Source organism: Homo sapiens, chromosome 12 (assembly GCF_000001405.40).
Source record: "Homo sapiens chromosome 12, GRCh38.p14 Primary Assembly".
In the NCBI taxonomy this organism is placed as follows: Eukaryota; Metazoa; Chordata; class Mammalia; order Primates; family Hominidae; genus Homo; species Homo sapiens.
The window spans coordinates 6611778-6636806 of record NC_000012.12 but is presented as its reverse complement, the minus strand read 5'-3'; the positions used below and the strand labels follow the sequence as shown (position 1 = coordinate 6636806).

Sequence of the window (25029 nt, the reverse complement as noted above, 5' to 3'; positions counted from 1 at the left end):
AAAATAGAAAAGTATAATGCACTGTCATGTACCCTTCACCCAGTTTCCATGATCAACACAAGGCCTATCATCTGACAGCATGTTAAGGCCCTCCGGAGCGCGGTAATAGAGAAACCTGTTTAACCTAGTGCTTCCCAAACTCATTTCACCACAATCCCTTTTCCACCTACCACCAAAAAACTTGAACTTGTTTTTATTTATTGAGCATGGACAACATGCCCAGCCCTGTGCCCACAGGGCCACTTGTCTCTGTGTTGTCTGGCCCGAGGACACAAGACAACGGGCTGAGGAGAAACAGACCTAAGCAAAGAGGAACCATCCAGCCTAGTGACTGCTCGATGCGGGAGCCAAGTGTGCTCAGTGGGAGGCAGGACCTAGCAGAGCACTGTCATGAAGAGGGCCCCGGGCAGGGTGGGGCACAAGCCACGAGTGGCATGGACTAAGCCACGAGTAGCATGGACTAAACCACCTGGCAGACCTAGGAAAGGAAGACAGACACCCAGGGGGAACCGGTGAGGACAGCGAGAGGCTGGTGGGTTAGTCATCTGGCATCAGACGGTGGGTGTGCCAGGAAGAGTTCCCAGACACAGCAGGAATATCTGAACGATGGGTGGGGGCAGTTCCTAGTCGGGGCTGGATTAAGTATCCTTAGCTGCTGGGGTTTCTTCTCTGGCCAGTCCGTGAAGGCCTCTGAGGGCAATGCTTCCTCTTCACTCTCTCCTTGGCCCGTGTGGGGTTGGGTGAGTGCACTGAGCTGGGAGGGATGGGCTGAGATCTGCTGAGGTGGGTGTGTCCCCTCCCGCCCTGGGAGCAGGTCCTACCAGCCCAGCCCAGCCCAGCCCAGCCCAGAGCAGGCAGCGGAAGCCAGCTTGGGGCAGCGCAGAGCAACACGGAGCACAGGTATGGGGGTGTCACGAATTGAACTGCACAGGGAGCACAAGGGGAGCACCCCCCTGTAGAAATGGGAGATTTGGGTGGGGGACAGAGAAGAGGGTGGGCATGGGCCCTGGAAAACCCTTCTGAACAGAGTAAAAAGCCGAAAGGAGCTGCCTCAAATAGACAGATCTTTTCAGATGGCGCTGGACAAACAGCTAACATGCCTGCTACACCTCGGGAGTGCTCCTCTTTGATGCTTGAAGCCCCCACTCTGGGGCATCTCGCAGAGGCTGTGTCCTCCCCCTCCCCCTCTAGGCCCCCACTGTGGAACTGAGCCTTGGGCCTCCCAGGGAGGGCCCTCTGGGGACTGTTTACACACTTTTTCCACTCGCAGTTAAACCTCAACCCCTACACCACACATCCCCCAGGGCCAGGCAGATGACAATGAGCTGATCTAATCAAACTTGCTAATGGGTTGACTGGCAGAGATGTGTTCTCAGTGTTATCCTTCCCAACTAGCCAAGGTGTACTGTAATGGGGTCTTCAGGAAGTGCTGCCTTAACCCAAAAGGTGCATCTATATAAGGGGATTAGACTGATGGTCTTTGATGTCCCTATGGCTCTGATAGATGGTGGCTTCAGGGGATGGAATTTTGGAGGTGGGGGACATATTCGGAGGTCAGCAGGGCTTTATGATACCTTCACATCACACCATGAGGATGGGGCCTACCTCTTCCCTGTGGTTGTGGGGCCCCCATGACAAGAAGGGGACCTCCACCAGATTGTATCTCCAGAACTACTCCTTTTTTTCTCTCTTCCTTCCTTCCTTTCTTTTTTTTTTTTTTGAGACAGAGTCTCCCTTTGTCACCCAGGCTGGAGTGCAGTGGCACGCTCTCAGCTCACTGCAACCTCCGCCTCCTGGGTTCAAGCAATTCTCTGCCTCAGCCTCCTGAGTAGCTGGGATTATAGGTACGCACCACCATGCCCGGCTAATTTTTGCATTTTTAGTAGAGACAGGGTTTTACCATCTTGGCCAGGCTGGTCTTGAACTCCTGACCTCATGATCCACCTGCCTCGGCCTCCCAAAGTGCTGGGATTACAGGCATAAGCCACGGTGCCCAGCCATTTTTTTTTTCAAGACAGGATCTCACTCTGTTGCCCAGGCTGGAGTGCAGTGGCATGAACATGGCTCACTGCAGCCTCAAACTCCTGGGTTCAAGCAATCCTCCCACTTCAGCCTCCCGAGTACCTGGGACTACAGGCAGGCACCACCATGCCCGGCTAATTTTTTTTTTTTTTGAGATGGGGTCTCGCTCTGTCGTCTAGGCTAAAGTGCAGTGGCATGATCTAGACTCACTGCAAACTCCGCCTCCTGGGTTCAAGCTATTATCCTGCCTCAGCCTCCAGAATAGCTGGAAATATAGGCTTGAGCCACCACAACCAGCTACTTTTTGTATTTTTTTTGGGTGTGTGTGTGTTTGTGTAGAGACAGGGTTTCACCATGTTGCCCAGGCTGGTCTTGAACTCGCGCTAAAGTGATCCATTCGCCTCTGCCTCCCAAAGTGCTGGGATTACAGGCGCGAGTCACACACTCGGCCTCTGTTAGTTTTTTGAAATTTTTTTGTAGAGCGGAGCGTGGTGGCTCACACCTGTAATCCCAGCACTTTGGGAGGCCAAGGCGGGCAGATCACAAGGTCAAGAGATCGAGACCATCCCAGGCAACATGGTGAAACCCCCGTCTCTACTGAAAAGACAAAAATTAGTTGGGCACGGTGGCACGCACCTATAGTCCCAGCTGCTCGGGAGGCTGAGGCAGGAGAATCCCTTGAACCCGGGAGGCGGAGGTTGCAGTGAGCTGAGATCACACCACTGCACTCAAGCCTGGCAACAGAGCGAGACTCTATCTCAAAAAAAAAATATTTTTTGTAGAGATGGGGTCCCACTATGCTGCCCAGGCTGGCAGAAATCCTCCTTTTAGGGTGAGCTAAAGTTGTAGACCCAGTGGGACATGGAGGCAGGGATTGAGGTGAGACAGAAACTTACTCACATGCAGTATGTACAGGACTCACCACCCAGCCACTCAGAGGCACTAGAGCCCAACTCCATCTGTCTGATGCCATCTGCTCTCCCTACTCTGCTGCCCCCAGTGCATACCCCAGGACATACCTACTGACAGAGATCTTTTATGCCCAGGGGCATTTTAAAAAGCCCAGGAGAATGGCCGGGCACAGTGGCTCACGCCTGTAATCCCAGCACTTTGGGAGGCTGAGGAGGGCAGATCACCTGAGGTCAGGCATTCAAGACCAGCCTGGCCAACACAGTGAAAACCCATCTCTACTAAAAATACAAAAATTAGCCAGGCGTGGTGGCGGGCGCCTGTAGTCTCAGCTACTCGGGAGACTGAGGCAGGAGAATTGCGTGAACCCGGGAGGCGGAGGTTGCAGTGAGCTGAGATTGCACCACTGTACTCCAGCCTAGGTAACACAGCAAGCGAGACTCCATCTCAGAAAAAAAAAAAACAAAACCCAGGAGAAGGAACCGGCAAGAGCAGTGAGGGCTGAAGCCAGTGCACTCTAAAGTCAGGTGAGGTCAGCAAAGCCCACAGGCTCTGGTGGATTTCCCTGAGGAAGCAGGACCTGCCAGGCTACAAGCAAGGGTCAGATGCACACAGACCACCTCAGGACACAGGTCAGGGGGCTGGGCCTGCCTCCGTGGCTTCTCTTGGGACTGACTTTCTTGCTTTTCCAGCTCTCGAAAGCAGGGTAAAGGGAGAGGCACAATGGCAAGGTGATATCCGCACATCAGGGAAACTAGTTATTGAGCTGTAGACCACCTTTGCTTTCTGCCTTTTCCCAGACAAATGTCAGGAGGGATGAGGTCAGAGTACTCAGGGAGGGAGAAGCCAGGGCCGAGGATGATGCTGGAAATGCAGGAAAAGACAGGCTTCAGCAGAGAAGGGTGGGGAAAGGCAGGAGCAGGAATTCTGGCTGGAGAAGCAGGCAGGCCTGGGCCAGGGAGGAGGGAAGACACGACCTGACACCCGGGATCCGTGCCAGAGACTCCTCTCTGAGGAAGAATGTGGCCCCTGGGCAGAAGGAGGCCTCCCCGCCCACCCTGGGGACTTTGTACTGTCTCCAAACCTTGAGGATGAGGATTCATCCTCCTGTTCCATTTAGTCTTCCATCTCATCCCTGCCCCTCAGGACCAGGATAAGCGGAAGAAAAGGATTCATTTGTGCCCTCAAAACAGCTCTGGGACAGAGCTTTTCACAAAGGCTTTGGACTGAGCTAAGCTTCTGCTGGAGGCTCAGCACAGCTGGGGTCTGTTTGGAGGGCCTGGATACAGAGATACTGAGTCTTCATGATGAAGCCTGTCTGTGGGGAAAGGGTGCATCCTCCCAGCGCTGCCTGAACACAGAAGCAGAGGAAGTAGGCTTCGCTAATTCAGCGAGTGGGTTAGAGTACATACTAAAGAGGGACTTCCTGTGTCGGGGCTGAGACACTGATGGGCCACGAGACTCTAAAATGAGGGTGGGGCTATTCCAGAGCTGATTCTCAGGGGCAAGGAGGATGGGGAGATGTAAGAACCTTCTTTTCAGACCTCTGACCCTAGGAATTGGAGTCAGGGGACCCAGGATGTGAATTATTTGAAAGAGGAGGCAGGCCGGGTCCAGTGGCTCACGCCTGTAATTCCAGCACTTTGGGTGGCCGAGGCAGGCAGATCACAAGGTCAGGAGTTCAAGACCAGTCTGGCCAATATAGTGAAACCCCGTCTCTACGAAAAATACAAAAAATTAGCCGGGTGTGGTGGTGTGCGCCTGTAATCCCAGCTACTCAGGGGGCTGAGGCAGGAGAATCGCGTGAATCCGGGAGGCAGAGGTTGCAGTGAGCTGAGATTGCACCGTTGCACTCCAGCTCAGGCGACAGTGCGAGACTCCGTCTCAAAAACAAAAGAAAAAAAAACGGAAAGAAAGAAAGGAGGCAAAAGACAGAGCAAGGCATGTGGTGTTTGCGGGGAGGTGGGCAACACAGGAAGGGTATGGGGGAGGAACTGGGCAAAGAGGAGGCATTCCCCTGCCCCTGCCCTTCTCATTGTTCCCAGCCCCCTGGTCCTTTCTCTTCAGCTCCCCTCAACGTCATTTGCCCAAGAGGCTGGATACCAGGGCAGGGTGTGTGGAGGAGAGTGAGGGAATGATCATGATTGCACCTCCTGCTCACTTTTACACTCTTGTTCTCACTTCCTGCCTCTGGCATAAAATAGCCCTGCCCCTCTGGCTTATCTCAGCAAAGAGCAGTGCCCAGCCCAGCTCAGAGGGCAAATGGGACAGATCCCAGAGGCCCTGAGGAGGTAAGTAACCTGGCCCCCGGATGTGTACATGGGAAGCTGAAGGACGGAGACCCAGGGAGAAGGAAGGTGGCTGCACACATTCTGGTGTGTGAGCGGTGTTGGGGTGGGTGATATAGAAGGAGCAGTCCCGGACCCTCTGTGTGTGTCGTGGTCACTTTGCTCCTCAGTGCCTTGGGGTTGAGATCTCCCATGCTTGTGAAGCTGCCTGGTTCTGTCTGTGTAAGGATACTGTCCCTAAGGCAGGGCCTTCTTTCTCTTCCTCCCCAGCCCAGTTGTCTATGCACATACGTGTTTATTACAGGATGTGTATAGACACTGAGTTCTATGTTACTAGGGGTCTTGTGTGCACATCTCTTAGCGTGTGTGTATATGTGTCTGTGCACACACGTGTAATGAGTGGTATACTTACCTGACATCAGTGTGTGCCGACGTTCTTCAGCCTATGGGGGCCTCCATGTCCCTCCTTCCTGGTGTTCCTTCTTTTCTGGGGCAGCTGCCATTTCTTTGATTCCTGCATCTCTCCTACAGCCTGACCTCTTCTTCAAGGCAGGATTGGGGGAGAGGGTCTGGGCTGCCCCTCCCCAACACCTAGATTCCCTCCTTCCACATCCTGTTAGCCTCCTTTTTGGCAGTTTTTTCCATCTTCGCCATCTGGCCTGGCACTGTGCCCATTCAGCTCCTGAAGGGAGCCCCAGGGCTCGGGAAGCAGAAGTGTGGGATGGGGACCAGGCCAGGGGCCTGGCAGCTCTCAGTGCTCAGCTTGGGCCGTTCTGTGTGACTGTCAGAAAGAGGCGGCTTTTTGACCACCAGGATCCTTTATAAAGATGGGCTGGGGCCAGGTGCGGTGGCTCATGCCTATAATCTCAGCACTTTGGGAGGCCGAGCCGGGTGGATCAACTCAGGTCAGGAGTTCAATACCAGCCTGACCAATATGGTGAAACCTGTCTCTACTAAAAATACAAAAATTAGCCAGGCATGGTGGCGTGCACCTGTAGTCCCAGCTACTCAGGAGGCTGAGACAAGAGAATTGCTTGAACCTGGGAGGAAAAGGTTGCAGTGAGCTGAGACTGTACCACTGCACTCCAGCCTGGGCAACGGGGAGACTCCGTCTCAAAAAAAAAAAAAAAAAAAAAAAAAAAAAAAAAAAAAAAGATGGGCTGGGTGCAGTGGTTCACTCTTGTAATTCCAGCACCCAGCACTTTGGGAAGCCGAGGTCTGCAGATCACTTGAGGTCAGGAGACCAGCCTAGCCTGACCAACATGGTGAAACCCCATTTCTACTGAAAACACAAAAAATTAGGCAGGTGTGGTGGTGCGAGCTATGATCCCAGCTACTTGGGTGGCTGAGGCACGAGAATTGCTTGAACCCAGGAGGCGGAGGTTGCAGTGAGCCAAGATTGTGATACTGCACTCCAGCCTCCAAACGAAGTGAGACTGTATCCAAAAAAAAAAGAAACCCAAGAACTTCTCCCCTTTGGAATAGAGTAACAAGAGAGCATCGCCATTTCCTTTGCTAAAAAATTCCTAGCTATACCTTTACATTTATTTATTTATGTTTTTTGAGACAGAGTTTCACTCTTGTCACCCAGGCTGGAGTGCAGTGGCGCGATCTCAGCTCACTGCAACTTCCGCCTCCTGGGTTCAAGGGATTCTCCTGCCTCAGCCTCCCGAGTAGCTGGGATTACAGATGCCGCCACCATGCCTGGCTAATTTTTGTATTTTTAGTAGAGATGGGGTTTTCACTATGTTGACCAGGCTGGTTTTGAATGCCTGACCTCAGGTGATCCGCCCGCCTCAGCCTCCCAAAGTGCTGGGATTACAGGTGTGAGCCATCACTTCGCCTAACTTTACCTTTAAGTAGCCGCTCAACTAATAATCTTGGTCTATTTAACATTTTAATTTTTTTTTTTTTTTGACGGAGTCTCACTCTGCCATCTAGGCTGGAGTGCAGTGGCGCAATCTCGGCTCACTGCAACCTCTGCCTCCCGGGTTCAAGCGATTCTCCTGCCTCAGCCTCCCGAGTAGCTGGGATTACAGGCAGGTGCCACCAAGCTCGGCTAATATTTTGTATTTTTAGTAGAGATGGGCTTTCACCATGTTAGCTAGGATGGTCTTGGTCTCCTGACCTCATGATGCACCCACCTTGGCCTCCCAAAGTGCTGGGATTACAGGTGTAAGCCACCGCGCTTGGCCCTTTTTTTTTTTTTTTTGAGACAGAGTCTCGCTCTGTTGGCCAGGCTGGAGTGCAGTGGCACGATCTCGGCTCACTGCAACCTCCGTCTCCCGGGCTCAAGCAATTCTCCTGCCTCAGCTTCCCGAGTAGCTGGGATTACAGGCGTGTGCCACCACCCCTGGCTAATTTTTGTATTTTCAGTAGAGATGAGGTTTCACCATGTTGGCCAGGCTGGTCTCGAACTCCTGACCTCAGGTAATCCGCCCACCTCGGCCTCCCAAAGTGCTGGGATTACAGGCGTGAGCCACCGTGCCCGGTACATTGTAACTTTTTCAACAGAAAGACTTGAGATCAGCCAGGCACAGTGTAATCCCAGCACTTTGGGAGGCCAAGGCAGGCGGATTACCTGAGGTCAGGAGTTCGAGACCAGCCTGGCCAACATAGTGAAACCCAGTCTTCTCTACTAAAAATACAGAAATTGGCCGGGCATGGTGGTTCACGCCTGTAATCCCAGCATTTTTTGGAGGCTGAGGCGGGCAGATCACCTGAGGTTGGGAGTTCGAGACCAGCCTGACCAACATGGAGAAACCCCATCTCTACTAAAAATACAAAATTAGCTGGGCGTGGTGGCACATGCCTGTAATCCCAGCTACTAAGGAGGCTGAGGCAGGAGAATCGCTTGAACCTGGGAGGCAGAGGTTGCGGTGAGCGGAGATCGTGCCATTGCACTCCAGTCTGGGCAACAAAAGTGAAACTCCATCTCAAAAAAAAAAAAAAAAAAGAAATTAGCTGGGCGTGGTGGTGAGCGCCTGTAATCTCAGCTATTCAGGAGGCTGAAGCAGGAGAATCACTTGAACCCGGGAGGCGGAGGTTGCAGTGAGCCGAGATTCTGCCACTTCACTGCAGCCTGGGTGACAGAGCATGCGAAACTCCATCTCAAAAAAGAAAAGGAAGGAAGGAAGGAAGGAAAGAAAGAAAGACAGACTTGAGGTTCTTTGAAAATCATCCATCCACTCATTCAGTGTCTAGTATATGCTTTCTAATTGGAAGGATCTACTGGTTCTCCAAGTAATGGTTAAGAATGATCAAGTGGGCCTGGCGCGGTGGCTCACGCCTGTAATCCCAGCTCTTTGAGAGGCCAAGGCGGGCAGATCACGAGGTCAGGAGATAGAGACCATCCTGGCTAATACAGTGAAACCCCAGCTCTACTAAAAATACAAAAAATTAGCCGGGTGAGGTGGCAGGTGCCTGTAGTCCCAGCTACTCGGGAGGCTGAGGCAGGAGAATGGCGTGAACCCGGGAGGCAGAGCTTGCAGTGAGCCCAGATTGAGCCACTGCACTCCAGCCCGGACGACAGAGCAAGACTCTGTCTCAAAAAAAAAAAGAAAAAAGAAAAAGAAAAGAATGATCAAGTGATACTGTAATCATAGTGTAAACTGTTATTGAAATCTTGTTTGCAAGCTGTTTCCAAACAGGTCTTTTAAGGGAAGTGGTCTTTTACTGAGTTATACATTTGGACAAGATTGATACAAGAGCTATTATCACAGGATTAGAGCGTGGGCGGGGGTAGTTGGGGGCGGGATGGGTGTAGGAGGTGGGGAGGGTGGATTTCCTGTTAAGCAGCCAATGAGTATCGCTCAGGACCTGCTAAATGCAGAGAGTGAAATGTGTCTGCAAGGTGCGCTCCCACCCTAGGAGCTTACCATCTAGTTGGGGAAATAGAACAAATATACATAAAACGATTGAGGGGCTCAAAACAGCAAACTAAGTGCTTACGTATGCACTTAAGGGGGAATTTTAAGGAGGTTTATTTATTTTTTTGAGATGGAGTTTCGCTTTTGTCACTCAAGCTGGAGTGCAGTGGCACGATCTCTGCTCACTGCAACCTCCGCCCCTTGGGTTCAAGCAATTCTCCTGCCTCAGCCTCCCGAGTAGTTGGGATTACAGGCACCTGCCACCTCGCCCGGCTAATTGTTTGTATTTTTAGTAGAGACGAGGTTTCACCATGTTGGCCAGGCTGGTCTCGAACTCCTGGCCTCGTGATACGCCTGCCTCGGCCTCCCAAAGTGCTGGGATTACAGGCGTGAGCCACCATTCCCGGTCTATTTACTTATTTTTATTTAGACGGAGTCTCACTCTGTTGCCCAAACTGTAGTGCAGTGGCATGATCTTCGTTCACTGCAACCTCCGCCTCTTGGGTTCAAGTGATTCAAGGAGGCATATTTATGTGTATGTGTGAAAGATGAGTTTATGTCACCACTTTTGGAAGTGGTTATTTTTAATAACCCACTTCAAATAACCCACTTTATACATTTCAGTTGGACAATGAGGAAGTGAAATAATGTATCTATGTTAGATATTATGTATAGAAATTAAAATATGGTGATGATCAGTAAATGATACCTATTATTTTTAACATTTACAGAGGTAGGTGCTGAGAATACACAAAGATGAATAAGCCATGGTCCACAGCCCCTCCCTCTAAGAGTTCACAGTCTAATGGGAGGGGCAGACCAGGAACAGCTGACTACCATGCATGGGGAGAGCTCTGATAAACCTGCGCACTGTTGCGGAGGCACAAGTGAGGGTACCACATCCGCCTTGTGTTGCGGGGGCGGTTAGGGAAGGCTTTGCAGAGTCCTGAGAAAATACTAGGCTTGCCAGTTGGAGAACGGGAGGCAGGGCATTCCAAGTTGAAGAAACACCACATACAAAGGCAGAGTCCTGAAAACATAAGGTATGTCCACAATTAGTATTAGTTTGGTGTGAATGGAGCAAAGGAGCATGGAGCAGGGGAGTGTATCAGAAATGAGCCTGGTTTTACTTGCTTTTCAGCATGTTTAAGTCTCATTTGGTATTATTTTCATTGTTGAGACTGGTATTTTGCAGAGGAAGTATTTCTTTATTCCCTTTAACTGTTTTACTATATCTCTTACAAGTCTCAAACTGCTGATGGTGGTGGTTGGAAGGAGAACAAAACCAAATACAAGAAAAACTTGTGGCCAGGTACAGTGGCTCATGCCTGTAATCCTAGGACTTACAGAGCCCAGGGCAAAAGGATTGCTTGAGCCTGAGTTTAAGACCAGCCTGGGCAACACAGTCAGACCCCGTTTCTATGAAAAAATTTTTTCTTTTTTTGAGATGGAGTCTTGCTCTGTTGCCCAGGCTGGAGTGCAGTGGCGCGATCTTAGCTCACTGCAACCTCTGTCTGCCTCCTGGGTTCAAGCGATTCTCCTGACTCAGTCTCCCGGGTAGCTGGGATTACAGGCACCTGCCACTATGCCTGGCTATTTTTTTGTATTTTTAGTAGAGACGAGGTTTCACCATGTTGGCTAGGCTGGTTTCGAGCTCCTGACCTCAAGTGATCCACCCACCTCAGCCTCCCAAAGTGCTAGGATTACAGGCATGAGCCACTGCCCCTGGCCATCTACAAAAAATTTAAAAATTAGCCAGGGATGGTGGCACACGCCTGTAGGTCCAACTACTCAGAGACTGAGGTAAGAGGATCACTTGAATCTGGGAGTTCAGGACTGCAGTGGGCCAAGATCGAGCCACTGCTTTCCAGCCTGGACCACGGAGTGAGACCCTGTCTCAAAAAAAACAAAAAACAAAAAACAAACAAAAAACTTGTTATAGCCAGATTTATGACTTATTTTCTTGCAACAATTTAAACAGTTCCTTTTTTTTTTTTTGAGACGGAGTCTCACTGTCGCCCAGGCTGGAATGCAGTGGCGTGAACTCGGCTCAGTGCAAATTCTGCCTCCCGGGTTCCCGCCAGTCTCCTGTCTCAGCCTCCTGAGTAACTGGGACTACAGGCGCCCACCACCACGCTCAGCTAAATTTTTTTGTATTTTCAGTAGAGACGAGGTTTCACCATGTTAGCCAGGATGGTCTCGATCTCCTCACCTTGTGATCCGCCCGCCTTGGCCTCCTAAAGTGCTGGGATTACAGGCATGAGCCACCGCGCCCGGCCCTCTTTTTTTTTTTTTTTTGAGACGGAGTCTCTGTTGCCCAGGCTGGCGTGCAGTGGCTCAATCTCGGCTCACTGCAAGCTCCGCCTCCCGGGTTCATGCCATTCTCCTGCCTCAGCCTCCTGAGTAGCTGGGACTACAGGCGCCTGCCACCACGCCCGGCTAATTTTTTGCATTTTTAAAAGAGACGAGATTTCACCGTGTTAGCCAGGATGGTCTCAATCTCCTGACCTCGTGATCCGCCTGCCTCGGCCTCCCAAAGTGCTGGGATTACCAGCGTGAACCACCACGCCCGGCCTAAACAGTTCCTTTTGAAAGTAATAAGCTCGGTGTCTTGGGATAATTGCTCAGGGTCTCAGACAACTTCTCTCCCTAAGATGACATCTAGACACCCATGTTCACAGTGGCATTATTCACAATAGCCAAAAGGTGGAAAGAATCCAAGTATTCACTGACAGATGAATGGATGAGCAAAACATTATACAATGAAATACATTATTCAGCTATAAAAATGAAATTCCAGGCCAGGTGCGGTGGCTCACATCTGTAATCCCAGCACTTTGGGAGGCCGAGCCGGGTGGATCACCTGAGGTCAGGAGATCGAGACCAGCCTGACCAACAGGGAGAAACCTCGTCTCTACTAAAAATACAAAATTAGCCAGGCGTGGTGGCGCATGCCTGTAATCCCAGCTACTTGGGAGGCTGAGGCAGGAGAATCGCTTGAACCCTGGAAGCAGAGGTTGCGGTGAGCCGAGATCGTGCCATTGCACTCCAGCCTGCGCAACAAGAGCGAAACTAGGTCTCAAAGAAAAAAACGGAAAAGAAAAAAAAAGAAATTCCTTTACATACTACAACATGAATAGATCTTGGAAACATTATGCTAAGTGAAATAAACCAGACACAAAAGGACAAATATTGTATGATTCCACTCATATGAGGTATCTAGAATAGGCAAATTCATTGAGACAGAAAGTAGACTAGAACCAGAAGCTGAATGGGGTGCGGTGGGTAGTACTGCTTAATGACTGCAGAGTTGTTGCTTGGTTGATGAAAAAGTTCTATTTCTGGAAACAGAGAGTGGTGACGGTTAAGCAACACTGTCTTGGTCTTTGTTGTTGTTGTTGTTGTTTTTGAGACGGACTCTCACTCTGTCTCCCAGGCCGGAGTGCGATGGATTAGACCTGCTAGGGGAGCACTTGGCAAAACTCAACCCACAGGGCCTTCCCCTGCCTAGCAAGACTGTGCTGTCAAATTTATTCACATGTGGCTCTGGTCAAGACTAGCATGCAATCAGCCTATGAGGGCATTATTATATTATTATTCCCATTTTACAGATGAAGAAACTGAGAAGTCAAACCATTAAGCTGAACCCAGTTTGCTTTGACCACAAATCCAGCCCTCACAGGCGCAGTGATGCATGTGATGCGTAAGGCTGGGATGTTGTTCTGTATTTGGGAGTTTTGTTTGCTTGTTTGCTTGTCTGACATGGAGTCTCACTCTGTCACCCAGGCTGGAGTGCAGTGGCGTGATCTCGGCTCACTGCAACCTCCGCCTCCCGGGTTCAAGGACTCTCCTGCTGCAGCCTCCCATGTACTCAAAGAGTTTGACCTTTATTCTTTGGATAATGAGGAGCTAGCCTAGCACCTGGTCCAAGGAGGTGCTCCATAAGACCACCTATTGATTTGTGCTTATTATCTGTCTCCCTCCAATGGAATGTAAAGGAGGTGGGGGCAAAGACTTTTTGCTTTGTTCCCTGCTGTGAACATGCCTGGAACTTTCTATGAGCTCAGTAAGCAAGGAAAGAAGGAAGGAAGAGATCTTGAGATAGTAACAGCAACCTAAGCGTTTTACACACGTCATCTTAATCTCCAAACCTCATGAATTCTCTCTCTCTCTCTCTCATTTTTTGAGACAGAGTCTCGCTCTGTCACCCAGGCTGGAGTGCAGTGGCGTGATCTCGACTCATTGCAACCTCTGCCTCCTGGATTCAATCAATTCTCATGCCTTAGCCTACTGAGGAGCTGGGATTACAAGTGCACGCCACCATACCCGGCTAATCTTTGTATTTTTAGTAGAGGCAAGATTTTGTCATGTTGGCCAGGTTGGTCTTCAACTCCTGGCCTCAAGTAATCCACCCACATCAGCCTCCCAAAGTGCTGAGATCACAGGCATGAGGTACCATGCAGCCGCCTTTTTTTTTTTTTGAGATGGAGTCTCGTTTTGTTACCCAGGCTGGAGGGCAGTGGTACGATGTCAGCTCACTGCAACCTCCGCCTCCTGGGTTCAAGTGATTCTCCTGTGTGAGCCTCCTGAGTAGCTGGGACTACAGGTGCATGCCACCACATCTGGCTAATTTTTGTATTTTTAGTAGAGACAGGGTTTTGCCAGGTTGGCCAGGCTGATCTCGAACTCCTGACCTCAGGTGATCTGCCCGCCTCAGTCTCCCAAAGTGCTGGATTACAGGTGTGGGCCACTACGCCGGCCCTGGCCCTCTTTCTTTCTTTTTTGAGATGGGCTCACTCTGTCACCCAGGCAGGAGTGCAGTGGTGGGCTTGAGGCTCACTGCACTGCAGCCTCCACCTCCCTGGAGTCAAGTGATTCTCTCACCTCAGCCTCACAAGTAGCTGGGACTACGGGCATGTGCCACAATGCCTGGCTAATTTTTTAATTTTTTAATATTTTTTATTTTATTTTTTTTTGAGACAGAGTCTTGCTCTGTCACCCAGGCCGGAGTGCAATGGTGTGATCTCGGCTCACTGCAACCTCTGCTCAAGCAATTCTCCCTGCCTCAGCCTCCTGAGTAGCTGGGATTACAGGCGCCTGCCACCACGCCCGGCTAATTTTTTTTTTTTTTTAGTAGAGACAGGATTTTGCCATGTTGGCCAGGATGGTCTCAACCTCCTGACCTCAGGTGATCCGCCCACCTCAGCCTCCCAAAGTGCTCGGATTACAGATGTGAGCCACCACGCCCAGCCTTATTTTTATTTTTTATTTTATTTTATTTATTTATTTTGAGATGGAGTTTCACTCTTGTTGCCCAGGCTGGAGTGCAATGGCGCGATCTTGGCTCACTGCAAACTCCACCCCCCAGGTTCAAGCAATTCTCCTGTCTCAGCCCCCTGAGTAGCTGGGATTACAGGCGCCCGCCCCTATGCCAGGCTAATTTTTGGTATTTTTTTTAGTAGAGATGGGGTTTCACCATGTTGGCCAAGCTGGTCTCGAACTCCTGACCTCAGGTGATCCACCTGCCTCGGCCTCCCAAAGTGCTGGGATTACAGGCGTGAGCCACCGCGCCTGGCTATTTTTATTTTTTGAGACAGAGTTTCACTTTTGTTGTCCAGGCTGGAGTGCAATGGCACAGTCTCAGCTCACTGCAACCTCTGCCTCCTGGTTTCAAGCGATTCTCCTGTCTCAGCCTCCCGAGTAGCTGGGATTACAGGTGTGCACCACCACGCCCAGCTAATTTTTGTATTTTTAGTAGAGATGGGGTTTCACCATATTGGACAGGTTGGTCTCGAACTCCTGACCTCAGGTAATCCACCCGCCTCGGCCTCCCAAAATGCTGGGATTACAGGTGTGAGCCACTGCACCTGGCCCTGTATTTTTTTGTAGAGATGGGGTTTCGCCGTGTTGCCCAGGCTGGTCCCCAACTCCTAGGTTCAAGCAATTGGTCTGCCTTGGCCTCCCAAAGTGCCAGGATTACAGGTGTAAGCCATTGCACCCAGCCAAGATTAATTTTTTTGAAGTCACACAACTAGGCAAGTTAGCAAAACCAAGATTTAAACCTAGGCATCCGAGTCCCTGCCTTCAAACCTGGGTGTTTAACACTATACTATATAGTCCTGCCGTAGGAACCTATTCTAGCCCAATGGCAGACTTGAGGCTGAGAAAAGATTCAGAAGGCCTGCCAGTGGAGCTAAACATTTGTGTGTGCAGCCCTGTCTCTGTATAACTTCCGGCTTGCCTTCCTATTCCAGGTCTCTGCTGCTGATGAAGCTGTGACCAAACGCACCCAACCCTTGGCAGCCATCTGTCCCTGCAGCCATAGCCCACATTCCCATGACCTCCCTCTGCTTGTTTTGGGACCATGTCTGTACAGCCTCTAGGCCCCAGCCCCGGAGGTGAATGCCATGCCATGATTCTGGTGTGCTCCATGGCATCCCCAGCCTAGCTCCCAATCCCACTTTGGCACGATGTTAGCCAACAGCTCCTCAACCAACAGTTCTGTTCTCCCGTGTCCTGACTACCGACCTACCCACCGCCTGCACTTGGTGGTCTACAGCTTGGTGCTGGCTGCCGGGCTCCCCCTCAACGCGCTAGCCCTCTGGGTCTTCCTGCGCGCGCTGCGCGTGCACTCGGTGGTGAGCGTGTACATGTGTAACCTGGCGGCCAGCGACCTGCTCTTCACCCTCTCGCTGCCCGTTCGTCTCTCCTACTACGCACTGCACCACTGGCCCTTCCCCGACCTCCTGTGCCAGACGACGGGCGCCATCTTCCAGATGAACATGTACGGCAGCTGCATCTTCCTGATGCTCATCAACGTGGACCGCTACGCCGCCATCGTGCACCCGCTGCGACTGCGCCACCTGCGGCGGCCCCGCGTGGCGCGGCTGCTCTGCCTGGGCGTGTGGGCGCTCATCCTGGTGTTTGCCGTGCCCGCCGCCCGCGTGCACAGGCCCTCGCGTTGCCGCTACCGGGACCTCGAGGTGCGCCTATGCTTCGAGAGCTTCAGCGACGAGCTGTGGAAAGGCAGGCTGCTGCCCCTCGTGCTGCTGGCCGAGGCGCTGGGCTTCCTGCTGCCCCTGGCGGCGGTGGTCTACTCGTCGGGCCGAGTCTTCTGGACGCTGGCGCGCCCCGACGCCACGCAGAGCCAGCGGCGGCGGAAGACCGTGCGCCTCCTGCTGGCTAACCTCGTCATCTTCCTGCTGTGCTTCGTGCCCTACAACAGCACGCTGGCGGTCTACGGGCTGCTGCGGAGCAAGCTGGTGGCGGCCAGCGTGCCTGCCCGCGATCGCGTGCGCGGGGTGCTGATGGTGATGGTGCTGCTGGCCGGCGCCAACTGCGTGCTGGACCCGCTGGTGTACTACTTTAGCGCCGAGGGCTTCCGCAACACCCTGCGCGGCCTGGGCACTCCGCACCGGGCCAGGACCTCGGCCACCAACGGGACGCGGGCGGCGCTCGCGCAATCCGAAAGGTCCGCCGTCACCACCGACGCCACCAGGCCGGATGCCGCCAGTCAGGGGCTGCTCCGACCCTCCGACTCCCACTCTCTGTCTTCCTTCACACAGTGTCCCCAGGATTCCGCCCTCTGAACACACATGCCATTGCGCTGTCCGTGCCCGACTCCCAACGCCTCTCGTTCTGGGAGGCTTACAGGGTGTACACACAAGAAGGTGGGCTGGGCACTTGGACCTTTGGGTGGCAATTCCAGCTTAGCAACGCAGAAGAGTACAAAGTGTGGAAGCCAGGGCCCAGGGAAGGCAGTGCTGCTGGAAATGGCTTCTTTAAACTGTGAGCACGCAGAGCACCCCTTCTCCAGCGGTGGGAAGTGATGCAGAGAGCCCACCCGTGCAGAGGGCAGAAGAGGACGAAATGCCTTTGGGTGGGCAGGGCATTAAACTGCTAAAAGCTGGTTAGATGGAACAGAAAATGGGCATTCTGGATCTAAACCGCCACAGGGGCCTGAGAGCTGAAGAGCACCAGGTTTGGTGGACAAAGCTACTGAGATGCCTGTTCATCTGCTGACTTCTGTCTAGGCTCATGGATGCCACCCCCTTTCATTTCGGCCTAGGCTTCCCCTGCTCACCACTGAGGCCTAATACAAGAGTTCCTATGGACAGAACTACATTCTTTCTCGCATAGTGACTTGTGACAATTTAGACTTGGCATCCAGCATGGGATAGTTGGGGCAAGGCAAAACTAACTTAGAGTTTCCCCCTCAACAACATCCAAGTCCAAACCCTTTTTAGGTTATCCTTTCTTCCATCACATCCCCTTTTCCAGGCCTCCTCCATTTTAGGTCCTTAATATTCTTTCTTTTTCTCTCTCTCTCGTTTCTCTCTTCTCTCTCCTCTCCTCTCCTCTCTCTTCTCCTCTTCTCTCTCTCTCCCTCTCTCTCCTTTGTCCAGAGTAAGGATAAAATTCTTTCTACTAAAGCACTGGTTCTCAAACTTTTTGGTCTCAGACCCCACTCTTAGAAATTGAGGATCTCAAAGAGCTTTGCTTATATTTTGTTCTTTTGATACTTACCATACTAGAAATTAAAGCGAATACATTTTTAAAATAAATACACATGCACACATTACATTAGCCATGGGAGCAATAATGTCACCACACACACTTCATGAAGCCTCTGGAAAACTCTACAGTATACTTGTGAGAGAATGAGAGTGAAAGGGACAAATAACATCTGTGTAGCAGTATTATGAAAATAGCTTGACCTCGTGGACTTCCTCAGAGGGTTGGTCCCTGGATCACACTTTGAGAACCATACTTGTCCTGAAGTATTGGAGTTCATGTCTAACTTCTTCCCAGGGCATTATGTACAGTGCTTTTTATTACTGTGGGGAGAGGGCAGTGCTAAATAAATTAATCACTACTGATAGTCTTCATGGCTCAGGGTTTTCCTGCGGCCCTAGGAGTAGTACATAAAATGGAACACTACCCTGGGCATATCAGAGCAGCAGCCCTGGGGCAGGGATGGAGACTGGGGGGTGGAACTAGTCATACACTCAGGCAGAGGGGATGGGGCTTCTCTGGGGGAGGGAAAAGGGAACTGTGCCACAGCCAGGAGAGAAAAGTTTATGGGGAAGTTAAGAGTGAGATGGGAGGACAGGAATAGGCTGTCCATTCTCAGCACGCTGGAAGCAAGGGAAATGGGCCACCTACTAGTCCTTCCCTCTTTTTTTTTTTTTGTTGAGACAGGGTCTCGCACTGTCACCTGGGCTGGAGTGCAATGGCGCGATCTCAGCACACTGCAACCTCTGCCTCCCGGGTTCATAGGATTCTCCTGCCTCAGCCTCCCAAGTAGCTGGGATTACAGGTGCACACCACCACACCCGGCTAATTTTTTGTATTTTTAGTAGTGATAGGGTTTCACTATGTTGGCCAGACTGGTCTCGAACTCCTGACCTCAGGTGAATCTGCCTGCGTCCCAAAGTGCTGGGATTACAGGCATGAGCCATTGTGCCCGGCTATTCCTTCCCTCTTCACCCAAGTTGGGGGCTCGGAGGGGCTGCAGAGTTGGCACTTGTGGACATCTTCAGACCCTGGCATTACTGAAGGAGCTGTTGCCCTGTGTGCGTCCTATAGCATTTCTGTCCCTATGTCTCAATACTGTATTTTTATCTGTGTGTGCACGCACTCTGTGTGTGTGAGAGAATGTGTGTGTGTGTGTGTGTGAGAGAGAGAGAGAGAGAGGTGTGTGTGTGTGTGTGTGTGTGTGTGTCAGGGTTCTCCGTTTGTGTCTGTTTTAGTCCAGGGTAGCCTTTTGTGTGTGCCTTTATGCCAAGTGCTCCAGATGGTGATTTACAGGGGTAAAATGACCCCTGGTGGCCAAATCAGAGAACTGACCCAGATTCCTCAGGGATAGCCATGAAATCTGGGCCTTTCTCCATCTGGGTGGAGATTGGAGCCTGGAGCCCGGCACTTACCTCCAGCCGCTCTGGAAGAGGCCTGGTGATTAGCACCTGCTCCATCTCTCTTCATCTTCAGGGTTCAAGACCTGTGCCCTTCCTGTCCTGAGAGCACTGGCAGCGCCAAACCTCGTAGTCCAAAATCTTAGCACTTTGCCCTATTCAAACAGAATCAAACACAATTTTTAAAGATTACTTGAGTACTTTTATAGGCAGGTACGTGAGTTCCAAAGTAATTACAACTCACGGCATGTATCACTTTTCAACATACTATATAATTTATTTATTCTAATTTTTATAGTTTATCATCTCCGCCACCCCGTCCTATATCCTAGGTAGAATGTAAGTTCTGTGGGGGCATGGATTTTTGCTTGATTCTCTGATGATCCCCAGCATCTAAAACAGTGCCTGGCACAGAGAAAGTGCTCAGTAAATATTTGTTGAATGAATGAACAGTCAGATCTTGCTGTGAAGTAGTTTACAATCTAGTGAGAACCATAGAACAAGTAAACAAAAACTATAATGCCAGGCAGAAAACACAAGAATGCAGGGTAAGGTGCTGGCAGTTGGTTTAGTGGGCAATGGGAAGCCCACGGAGGCTCCTGAGTGAGGTTTTGCTCACACTGACAAACTGTGTGGAATAAACTGTAGGAAAATGATGGGGGGGGAAAGTCTAAAGAAACGAAAGACTGGTCAGGGGGCCATTACAATAGCCCAGGACAAGTGTGGCCATGGCCTGTGGAAGAGCTAGATGGCAATACATTGTCTCTGATGTGAAATCTCTGGTGTCAAAGCCCTGGTGGACTATTTCCCCCCATTCAGATATCCAAAGGCTTTCCATCAAGAGAACAGAGAGGCAAGAATAGATTAGGCCATTTTCATAGGGTTCCCCAAGACTAAGAGAGCAATATGAAGTCCAGAGCCCTCACCCCATGCCCTGAAGCTGCTCTATTTAAGGTCTATGAAAATCCAAAGATAGAGAAGGGGAAAATCTTAGACAGACGGGAATGAGCATTAGCAGTTTTTGTTGTTGTTGTTGTTTTTGAAATGGAGTTTCACTCTTGTTGCCCAGACTGGAGTGCAGTTGGTGGTCTCTGCTCACTGCAACCTCCGCCTCCCAGGTTCCAGCTATTCTCCTGCCTCAGCCTCCTGAGTAGCTGGGATTACAGGCGCCCGCCACCATGCCCGGCTAATTTTTGTATTTTTAGTAGAGACAGGGTTTCACCATGTTGACCAGGCTGGTCTTGAACTCCTGATCTCAGGTGATCCACCCACCTCGGCCTCCCAAAGTGCTGGGATTACAGGCGTGAGCCACTGCACCCGGCCTTTTAGCAGGTTTAAAAAATACTCTTCTGTATGCCAAGATTTCAAGTTAGCGCTTAAGATGCATTATCTTCTTTATTATATTAAATAATATAATCTGAGTTGGAGATGATGTTCATCCCTTTTACAGATGAAACACCCTGGAGAATCTGAGGTCTTAAGGTCACACAACTAGAAAGTGGCTCAGTCTGTAATTTGGCTCCCAAACTCCTGCTTTTTGCAGTATACCTCTCCTTCCTGGGACTTTCTTTCCTGTTACATACCACCCCGGGTTTCCTTCCTTCTCCTCCCCTCCTCATGTAGCCACCTCTTTCAACTGCCTGGCTTGCCTTGAATCTGCTGCATCATCTTGGTCCTCCTCTTCCCAGTTCTTCCTCCATGCCCCTAATCCACTTGCCCTACAGCACACCCGCCCCTTCCCTCTCCGTTTGTCTCAGCCCCCTGTTTATTGAACACCATGTGGCTGTAGGGGTTGGGGAGGTTGAGAGCTGGCTCACTCAAGGTTCTAATTGTGTTGGGCCCTAAAATACACCACATCGAGGGCCCACACACAGGCAGAATGCCTTAAGACTTCAGGCAGTTGGCCATGACTCCCCTCCCCCAGCCTGTGATGTACCCTACATCTCCAAGGCAGCACTCCTGATTGTGTACACTGAGCAGGGACCATCCCTTGGTTCACCCTTCCTCAAAGTCTGTCTCCTCGGTAGGATGGTCCCTCCACATGGTGAGAGGAGCTGGGAAGAGTAACAATCATTATTATTATTTTTTTTTTTTTGAGATCGAGTCTTGCTCTGTCACCCAGGCTGGAGTGCAGTGGCACGATCTCGGCTCACTGCAACTTCTGCCTCCCAAGTTCAAGTGATTCTCCTGCCTCAGCCTCCCGAGTAGCTGGGACTACAGGCACGTGCCACCACACCCAGCTGATTGTTTTTATTTTTAGTACAGACAGGGTTTCACCAGGTTAGCCAGGATGGTCTCCGTCTCCTGACCTCATGATCCGCCCACCTCGGCCTCCCAAAATGCTGGGATTACAGGCATGAGCCACCGCTCCTGGCCTTAATTTTTTTTTTTTTTTTTTTTTTTGAGACAAGGTCTTGCTCTGTCATCCATGCTGGAGTGCAGTGGTGCCATCTCGGCTCACTGCAACCTCCCCCTCCCAGATTCAAGTGATTCTCCTGCCTCAGCCTCCTTAGTAGCTGGAATTACAGGCGTGCGTCACCACGCCCAGCTAATTTTCGTATTTTTAGTAGAGACGGGGTTTTACCATGTTGGCCATGCTGGTTTTGAACTCCTGGCCTCATGTGATGTGCCTGACTCTGCCTCCCAGAGTGCTGGGATTACAGGTGTGAGCTACCACACCCGGCCACAATCATTAATCTTAAAACAAATTTAGGAGAGCCAGGGCAGAGGTAAGGGATATCAAAGGAGGGCAGAGATTCTTCCTTCTTGGTCCTCAACCATCCTGAAGATGGAATTCCCTCGAGGCTGCCACCTGGAGTCCCATGGAAGAAACGGGGAACGGAAGGTTAATCTCACACAGGAAGGCCCTGGACAAGTTGGGGTAATTCTCACCATGTTGTCCTTGCCAGAGGAGCACGGAAAGTCCTGGAAGGTGAACTTTCTCACTCAGGGTTTGGGGAATCCCAAAGGCTCCAGAACTTTGGAATCAAACAAATCTGGGCATTAATTTCAACTCTCTCACTTCTTGGCAATGTGGCTTCAACAAATTTCTTGACCTCTCTGAGCCTCTGTTTTCTCCCATTTCTCTGTGAAATGGGGCTCATAATATCCACTTATTGGGTTATTGTGAGGGTCAAGGAGCCCACCTTTGAAAGGTACTCTAGATGCCCCATAAGTGGGAGCTCCTTCTTTCCAACAAGAGCATGGGGAGGCGAGGCCATTGATCAACTCTGCCAGTGATGCCCAAGGGGAGTGTTTCCCGAAGACCTGAAGGGCTCTTTCCTCACCCAGACAGAGCTCTGCCAGCAATCAGACGTAGGACCACGGGAGGTGGTGAGCAAGGCAGGCTGGGCAGGTTTCCACGGTGCTAGGTCAAGCAGGCAGTCTTTAGGGGCAGCGACTGGCCTGTTGCCCTCTGGGGGCACTCTCTCCCCACTAGGCCCATGTCCATCCCACAGACCAAGGAGGAGGTAGGAAAGTGCAAGACAGGGGGAAGCTGGCTGGAGAACCAAGCAATGGAGAAAGGGCAAGGGAGGAGGCTGGAGGGGAAGCGAGGGCCCAGGCAGGCACGGGGTGGGGCTGGGAGAGGGGCCCAGGGCAGGAGGGCGGGAGAAAGCCTGGGAGGGAAAGCGCCGACCAGGGAGGGAGGAGGGACAGGGAGGGAGGCCTGCGGCGCTGACACAGCCTCGATGTGTGGAACTGGCTGGGGTTTGGCCCACAGGTCAGGCGTCTGGCAGTATTATGGGATGGAGAGGCCTTAGGAGACAGGGAGAGTATTATGGGCTGGAACAGCCTTAGGAGACTGGGGAATATTATGGGTTGGTGAGGCCCGGCTCCAACTGGAGGCGGGAGGAAGGGGTGCGGGGCGGGAAGGGGGGGTGGTGGTGGAAGGGAGTATTATGGGCTGGAGGCCTCCTGCGACCAGAGGCAAGAGTATTATGGGCTGGCAAGGCCTTCGGTGGCCAGAGGGGGGAGCAGCGGGGGATGGCACCGGCTGCATGTGACTGAGGGGGGGCCAAGTTGGGGGGGGTGGTGAGTGGGGGTGGGGGAGCTTATTATGGGATAGCTCTTTGTACCTACTGCGGGGACTGCTTCTCCAGAAGATATTATGGGATGTCGTGTGTGGGAGGGGGAGTGGGGCTGGGGGGATTATTATGGGATGGTGGTGCAGAATGGGGAGGGCCTGAGGAGCTCTTCTCCAGCCCCCCCACCTCCTCAACCCTTACTCGCCTACCATCCTTTCTAAGGTCACCGTCCTCTCTCAGACTCCCCAAGAGGAACACCTGAAACCCATCTCCCTACACACACAGACTTTGGGCACCTCAACCCATCCCGGGCTTCTCCCCTAACTAGCAGCCACCTCCGGGGTGCTGAGGAGAAAAGTAGCCCCTGGCGAATGGGGAGAAAGCCCTAAAGCAGGGTGGTGGTGGCCAGTGGATCACACCTTCCACCTGCACGACGGCCTCCTCTGCACCCTAGCCCCTTATACCACCGTCCTTCCCCTTCTCCCTGCATCCCACAAAGTGGGGGCCCTGGATCTTTCTCCCCTCCCCCCTCCCCTCCATTTCCTCTCCAGCTCCCTCCACAGCCGTAACCAGTAAAACAGGCGGCCAGCTATTATGGGATGGCTGCTCCCAGCAGCTCTGCAGGGAGGGGGCGGTCACCGCGGAATGTCTCTTGTGGGTGGCTATTATGGGATGGCCGCCTCTCTTTTTTTGGGGGGGTAAGGCTAGCGAGGAGGATTATTATGGGATGTGCCCTGCACAGCTGGGTGGGGCTGTCCAGGAGAGGTGAAACTCTAGGGAGGGGTGGGGAGGGGGAGGGAAGGAAGAGGGAGGGAAGGAGCTGGGGAGGGTAGGGTGAGCCCTGGAGTCGGACCTGAGGCCTGGCAGGAGTAACTGGCTGGAGAGGTTTCTTTGGTGACAGCTGTTTGAAGGGGCCCCTGGGGCAGGCTCCAGCGAGCCAAATCTGAACCCTGGACACCTGGGTCCTTTAAACAGCTTGTGCGCTACAGGGTTGCCCTGTGAGTCCGGGGCCTGCAGAGCTGCACTGCAAATGAGAACTGAGATGTTCTGGCCGGGTGGCATACCAAAGGGAGTAGTAGTCATGGATGGCGATAGTACCCGTCTCCCTTCCATCTTTGTCTTCCTGGGTTTGAGCCTGGGGACCATAGCTCAGGTTGGGGGATTGTGCACGGAGCACTTTGCTTAGGTTGGGGGGTTGTGCACGGAGCACTTTGCTTAGGTTGGGGGGTTGTGCACGGAGCGCTTTGCTACCTTGCAGTCACACCCAAAAAACAGATAGTAGGTTGCCTCCTGAGATACAAACACCTGGCATGTCACCCCCAAGCCCCACGTGATCTGCATCCTGTCTAGCCTTTGGAGTGCACTGTCACTGTGGCTTTGCTTCCCTCGTTGTCTCCCAAAATCCCCTTTTCAGACAGAGCAGGAGAACACTGTGGCCCCTTGGACCTCTTATGAACAGAGTTTTTCAGGTTCACACAAAACAGAGGTGTAAGGAGAGGAATTATAGAGCAAATGCTAAAAACTCCATGAACAACCCACTCTGAGTGTTGTTCTAGGTTCTTCTGTACCATGGGATGAAAACAGAACTCTAAGGTAACTGGCTAGAGAGGCTGCCCTCCTGGGTGCATTAATTAGGAGATTATGCCACCCTTAGTCTCCCTGGGCCAGTCATGCTAGTGGTTTATTTATAATTTATCTGGGAGGGTAGCACGGGGCTAGAGGAGGGAGGGGAAGCGTAGAAGCATAAGGACTACAAAGCAACACACCAGCACACACCTCCGAGCCCTTTCTGGAACTCAAGAAGAGAGGAAGGGATTTTAACTTTCTCCTTGTTGTGGTGTTAGGGAGAGGTGGGGAGCAAGAGCAGCAAAGGAAGAAGTGGGTAGAACCTACAGGAATAGGGACACAGGGTGAGTAGTGGACAAAGGATATATGGATAAATAAAATGTGGATATTTTTAGTCACAGGCAGGAGGCTGTGACTACCCAAACGCTCTCTTACT

General features: G+C 51.7%; 1 protein-coding gene and 1 long non-coding RNA gene across 4 annotated transcripts, besides 7 other annotated features; one reads left to right on the top strand and one right to left on the bottom strand.

Annotated features, from left to right (window-relative positions):
- Positions 1–847: 847 nt before the first annotated feature.
- On the top strand, positions 848–17972 carry LPAR5 (lysophosphatidic acid receptor 5). 2 transcript variants are annotated; one of them, NM_020400.6, is made up of 2 exons: positions 848–900; positions 15343–17972. In NM_020400.6, the coding sequence occupies exon 2, from the start codon at positions 15559–15561 to the stop codon at positions 16675–16677; it is 1119 nt and encodes a 372-aa protein (NP_065133.1). In that variant the 5' UTR covers positions 848–900; positions 15343–15558; the 3' UTR covers positions 16678–17972. The 2 variants fall into 2 exon arrangements, with proteins under 2 accessions (NP_065133.1, NP_001136433.1); NM_001142961.1 differs by lacking the exon at positions 848–900 and adding an exon at positions 5158–5222.
- Positions 2882–2931: a silencer, noted in NCBI's record as "silent region_4176". NCBI's record gives its function as "represses an Ori minimal core promoter by ATAC-STARR-seq in GM12878 lymphoblastoid cells {active_cell/tissue: GM12878}" and the evidence as "EXISTENCE:reporter gene assay evidence [ECO:0000049][PMID:35858748]".
- Positions 3847–3906: an enhancer, noted in NCBI's record as "active region_5871". NCBI's record gives its function as "activates an Ori minimal core promoter by ATAC-STARR-seq in GM12878 lymphoblastoid cells {active_cell/tissue: GM12878}" and the evidence as "EXISTENCE:reporter gene assay evidence [ECO:0000049][PMID:35858748]".
- Positions 4757–4806: an enhancer, noted in NCBI's record as "active region_5870". NCBI's record gives its function as "activates an Ori minimal core promoter by ATAC-STARR-seq in GM12878 lymphoblastoid cells {active_cell/tissue: GM12878}" and the evidence as "EXISTENCE:reporter gene assay evidence [ECO:0000049][PMID:35858748]".
- LOC105369631 (uncharacterized) lies at positions 10041–22721 on the bottom strand. 2 transcript variants are annotated; one of them, XR_007063192.1, is made up of 4 exons: positions 22290–22721; positions 21895–21980; positions 19018–19157; positions 10041–10118 (listed from the first exon to the last, which is right to left on the bottom strand). It is a non-coding gene; the product is annotated as an uncharacterized LOC105369631 (long non-coding RNA). The 2 variants fall into 2 exon arrangements; XR_931597.3 differs by lacking the exon at positions 10041–10118 and having other exon boundaries at positions 18056–19157.
- Positions 15904–16424: an enhancer, noted in NCBI's record as "H3K27ac-H3K4me1 hESC enhancer chr12:6729549-6730069 (GRCh37/hg19 assembly coordinates)". NCBI's record gives its function as "activates a minimal SCP1, AML or CMV promoter by ChIP-STARR-seq in naive H9 embryonic stem cells {active_cell/tissue: H9 hESC(naive)}" and the evidence as "EXISTENCE:reporter gene assay evidence [ECO:0000049][PMID:30033119]".
- Positions 16425–16946: an enhancer, noted in NCBI's record as "H3K27ac-H3K4me1 hESC enhancer chr12:6729027-6729548 (GRCh37/hg19 assembly coordinates)". NCBI's record gives its function as "activates a minimal SCP1, AML or CMV promoter by ChIP-STARR-seq in naive H9 embryonic stem cells {active_cell/tissue: H9 hESC(naive)}" and the evidence as "EXISTENCE:reporter gene assay evidence [ECO:0000049][PMID:30033119]".
- Positions 22284–24026: a transcriptional cis regulatory region, noted in NCBI's record as "candidate enhancer chr12.325 targeted for multiplex CRISPR interference". NCBI's record gives its function as "positively regulates CHD4 gene expression with high confidence in K562 cells {active_cell/tissue: K562}" and the evidence as "EXISTENCE:mutant phenotype evidence [ECO:0000015][PMID:30612741]".
- Positions 22974–23043: a silencer, noted in NCBI's record as "silent region_4175". NCBI's record gives its function as "represses an Ori minimal core promoter by ATAC-STARR-seq in GM12878 lymphoblastoid cells {active_cell/tissue: GM12878}" and the evidence as "EXISTENCE:reporter gene assay evidence [ECO:0000049][PMID:35858748]".

Coding starts and splice junctions, on each gene's coding strand:
- LPAR5 (NM_020400.6), top strand. CDS start 15,559: ATGTTAGCCAACAGCTCCTCAACCAACAGTTCTGTTCTCCCGTGTCCT.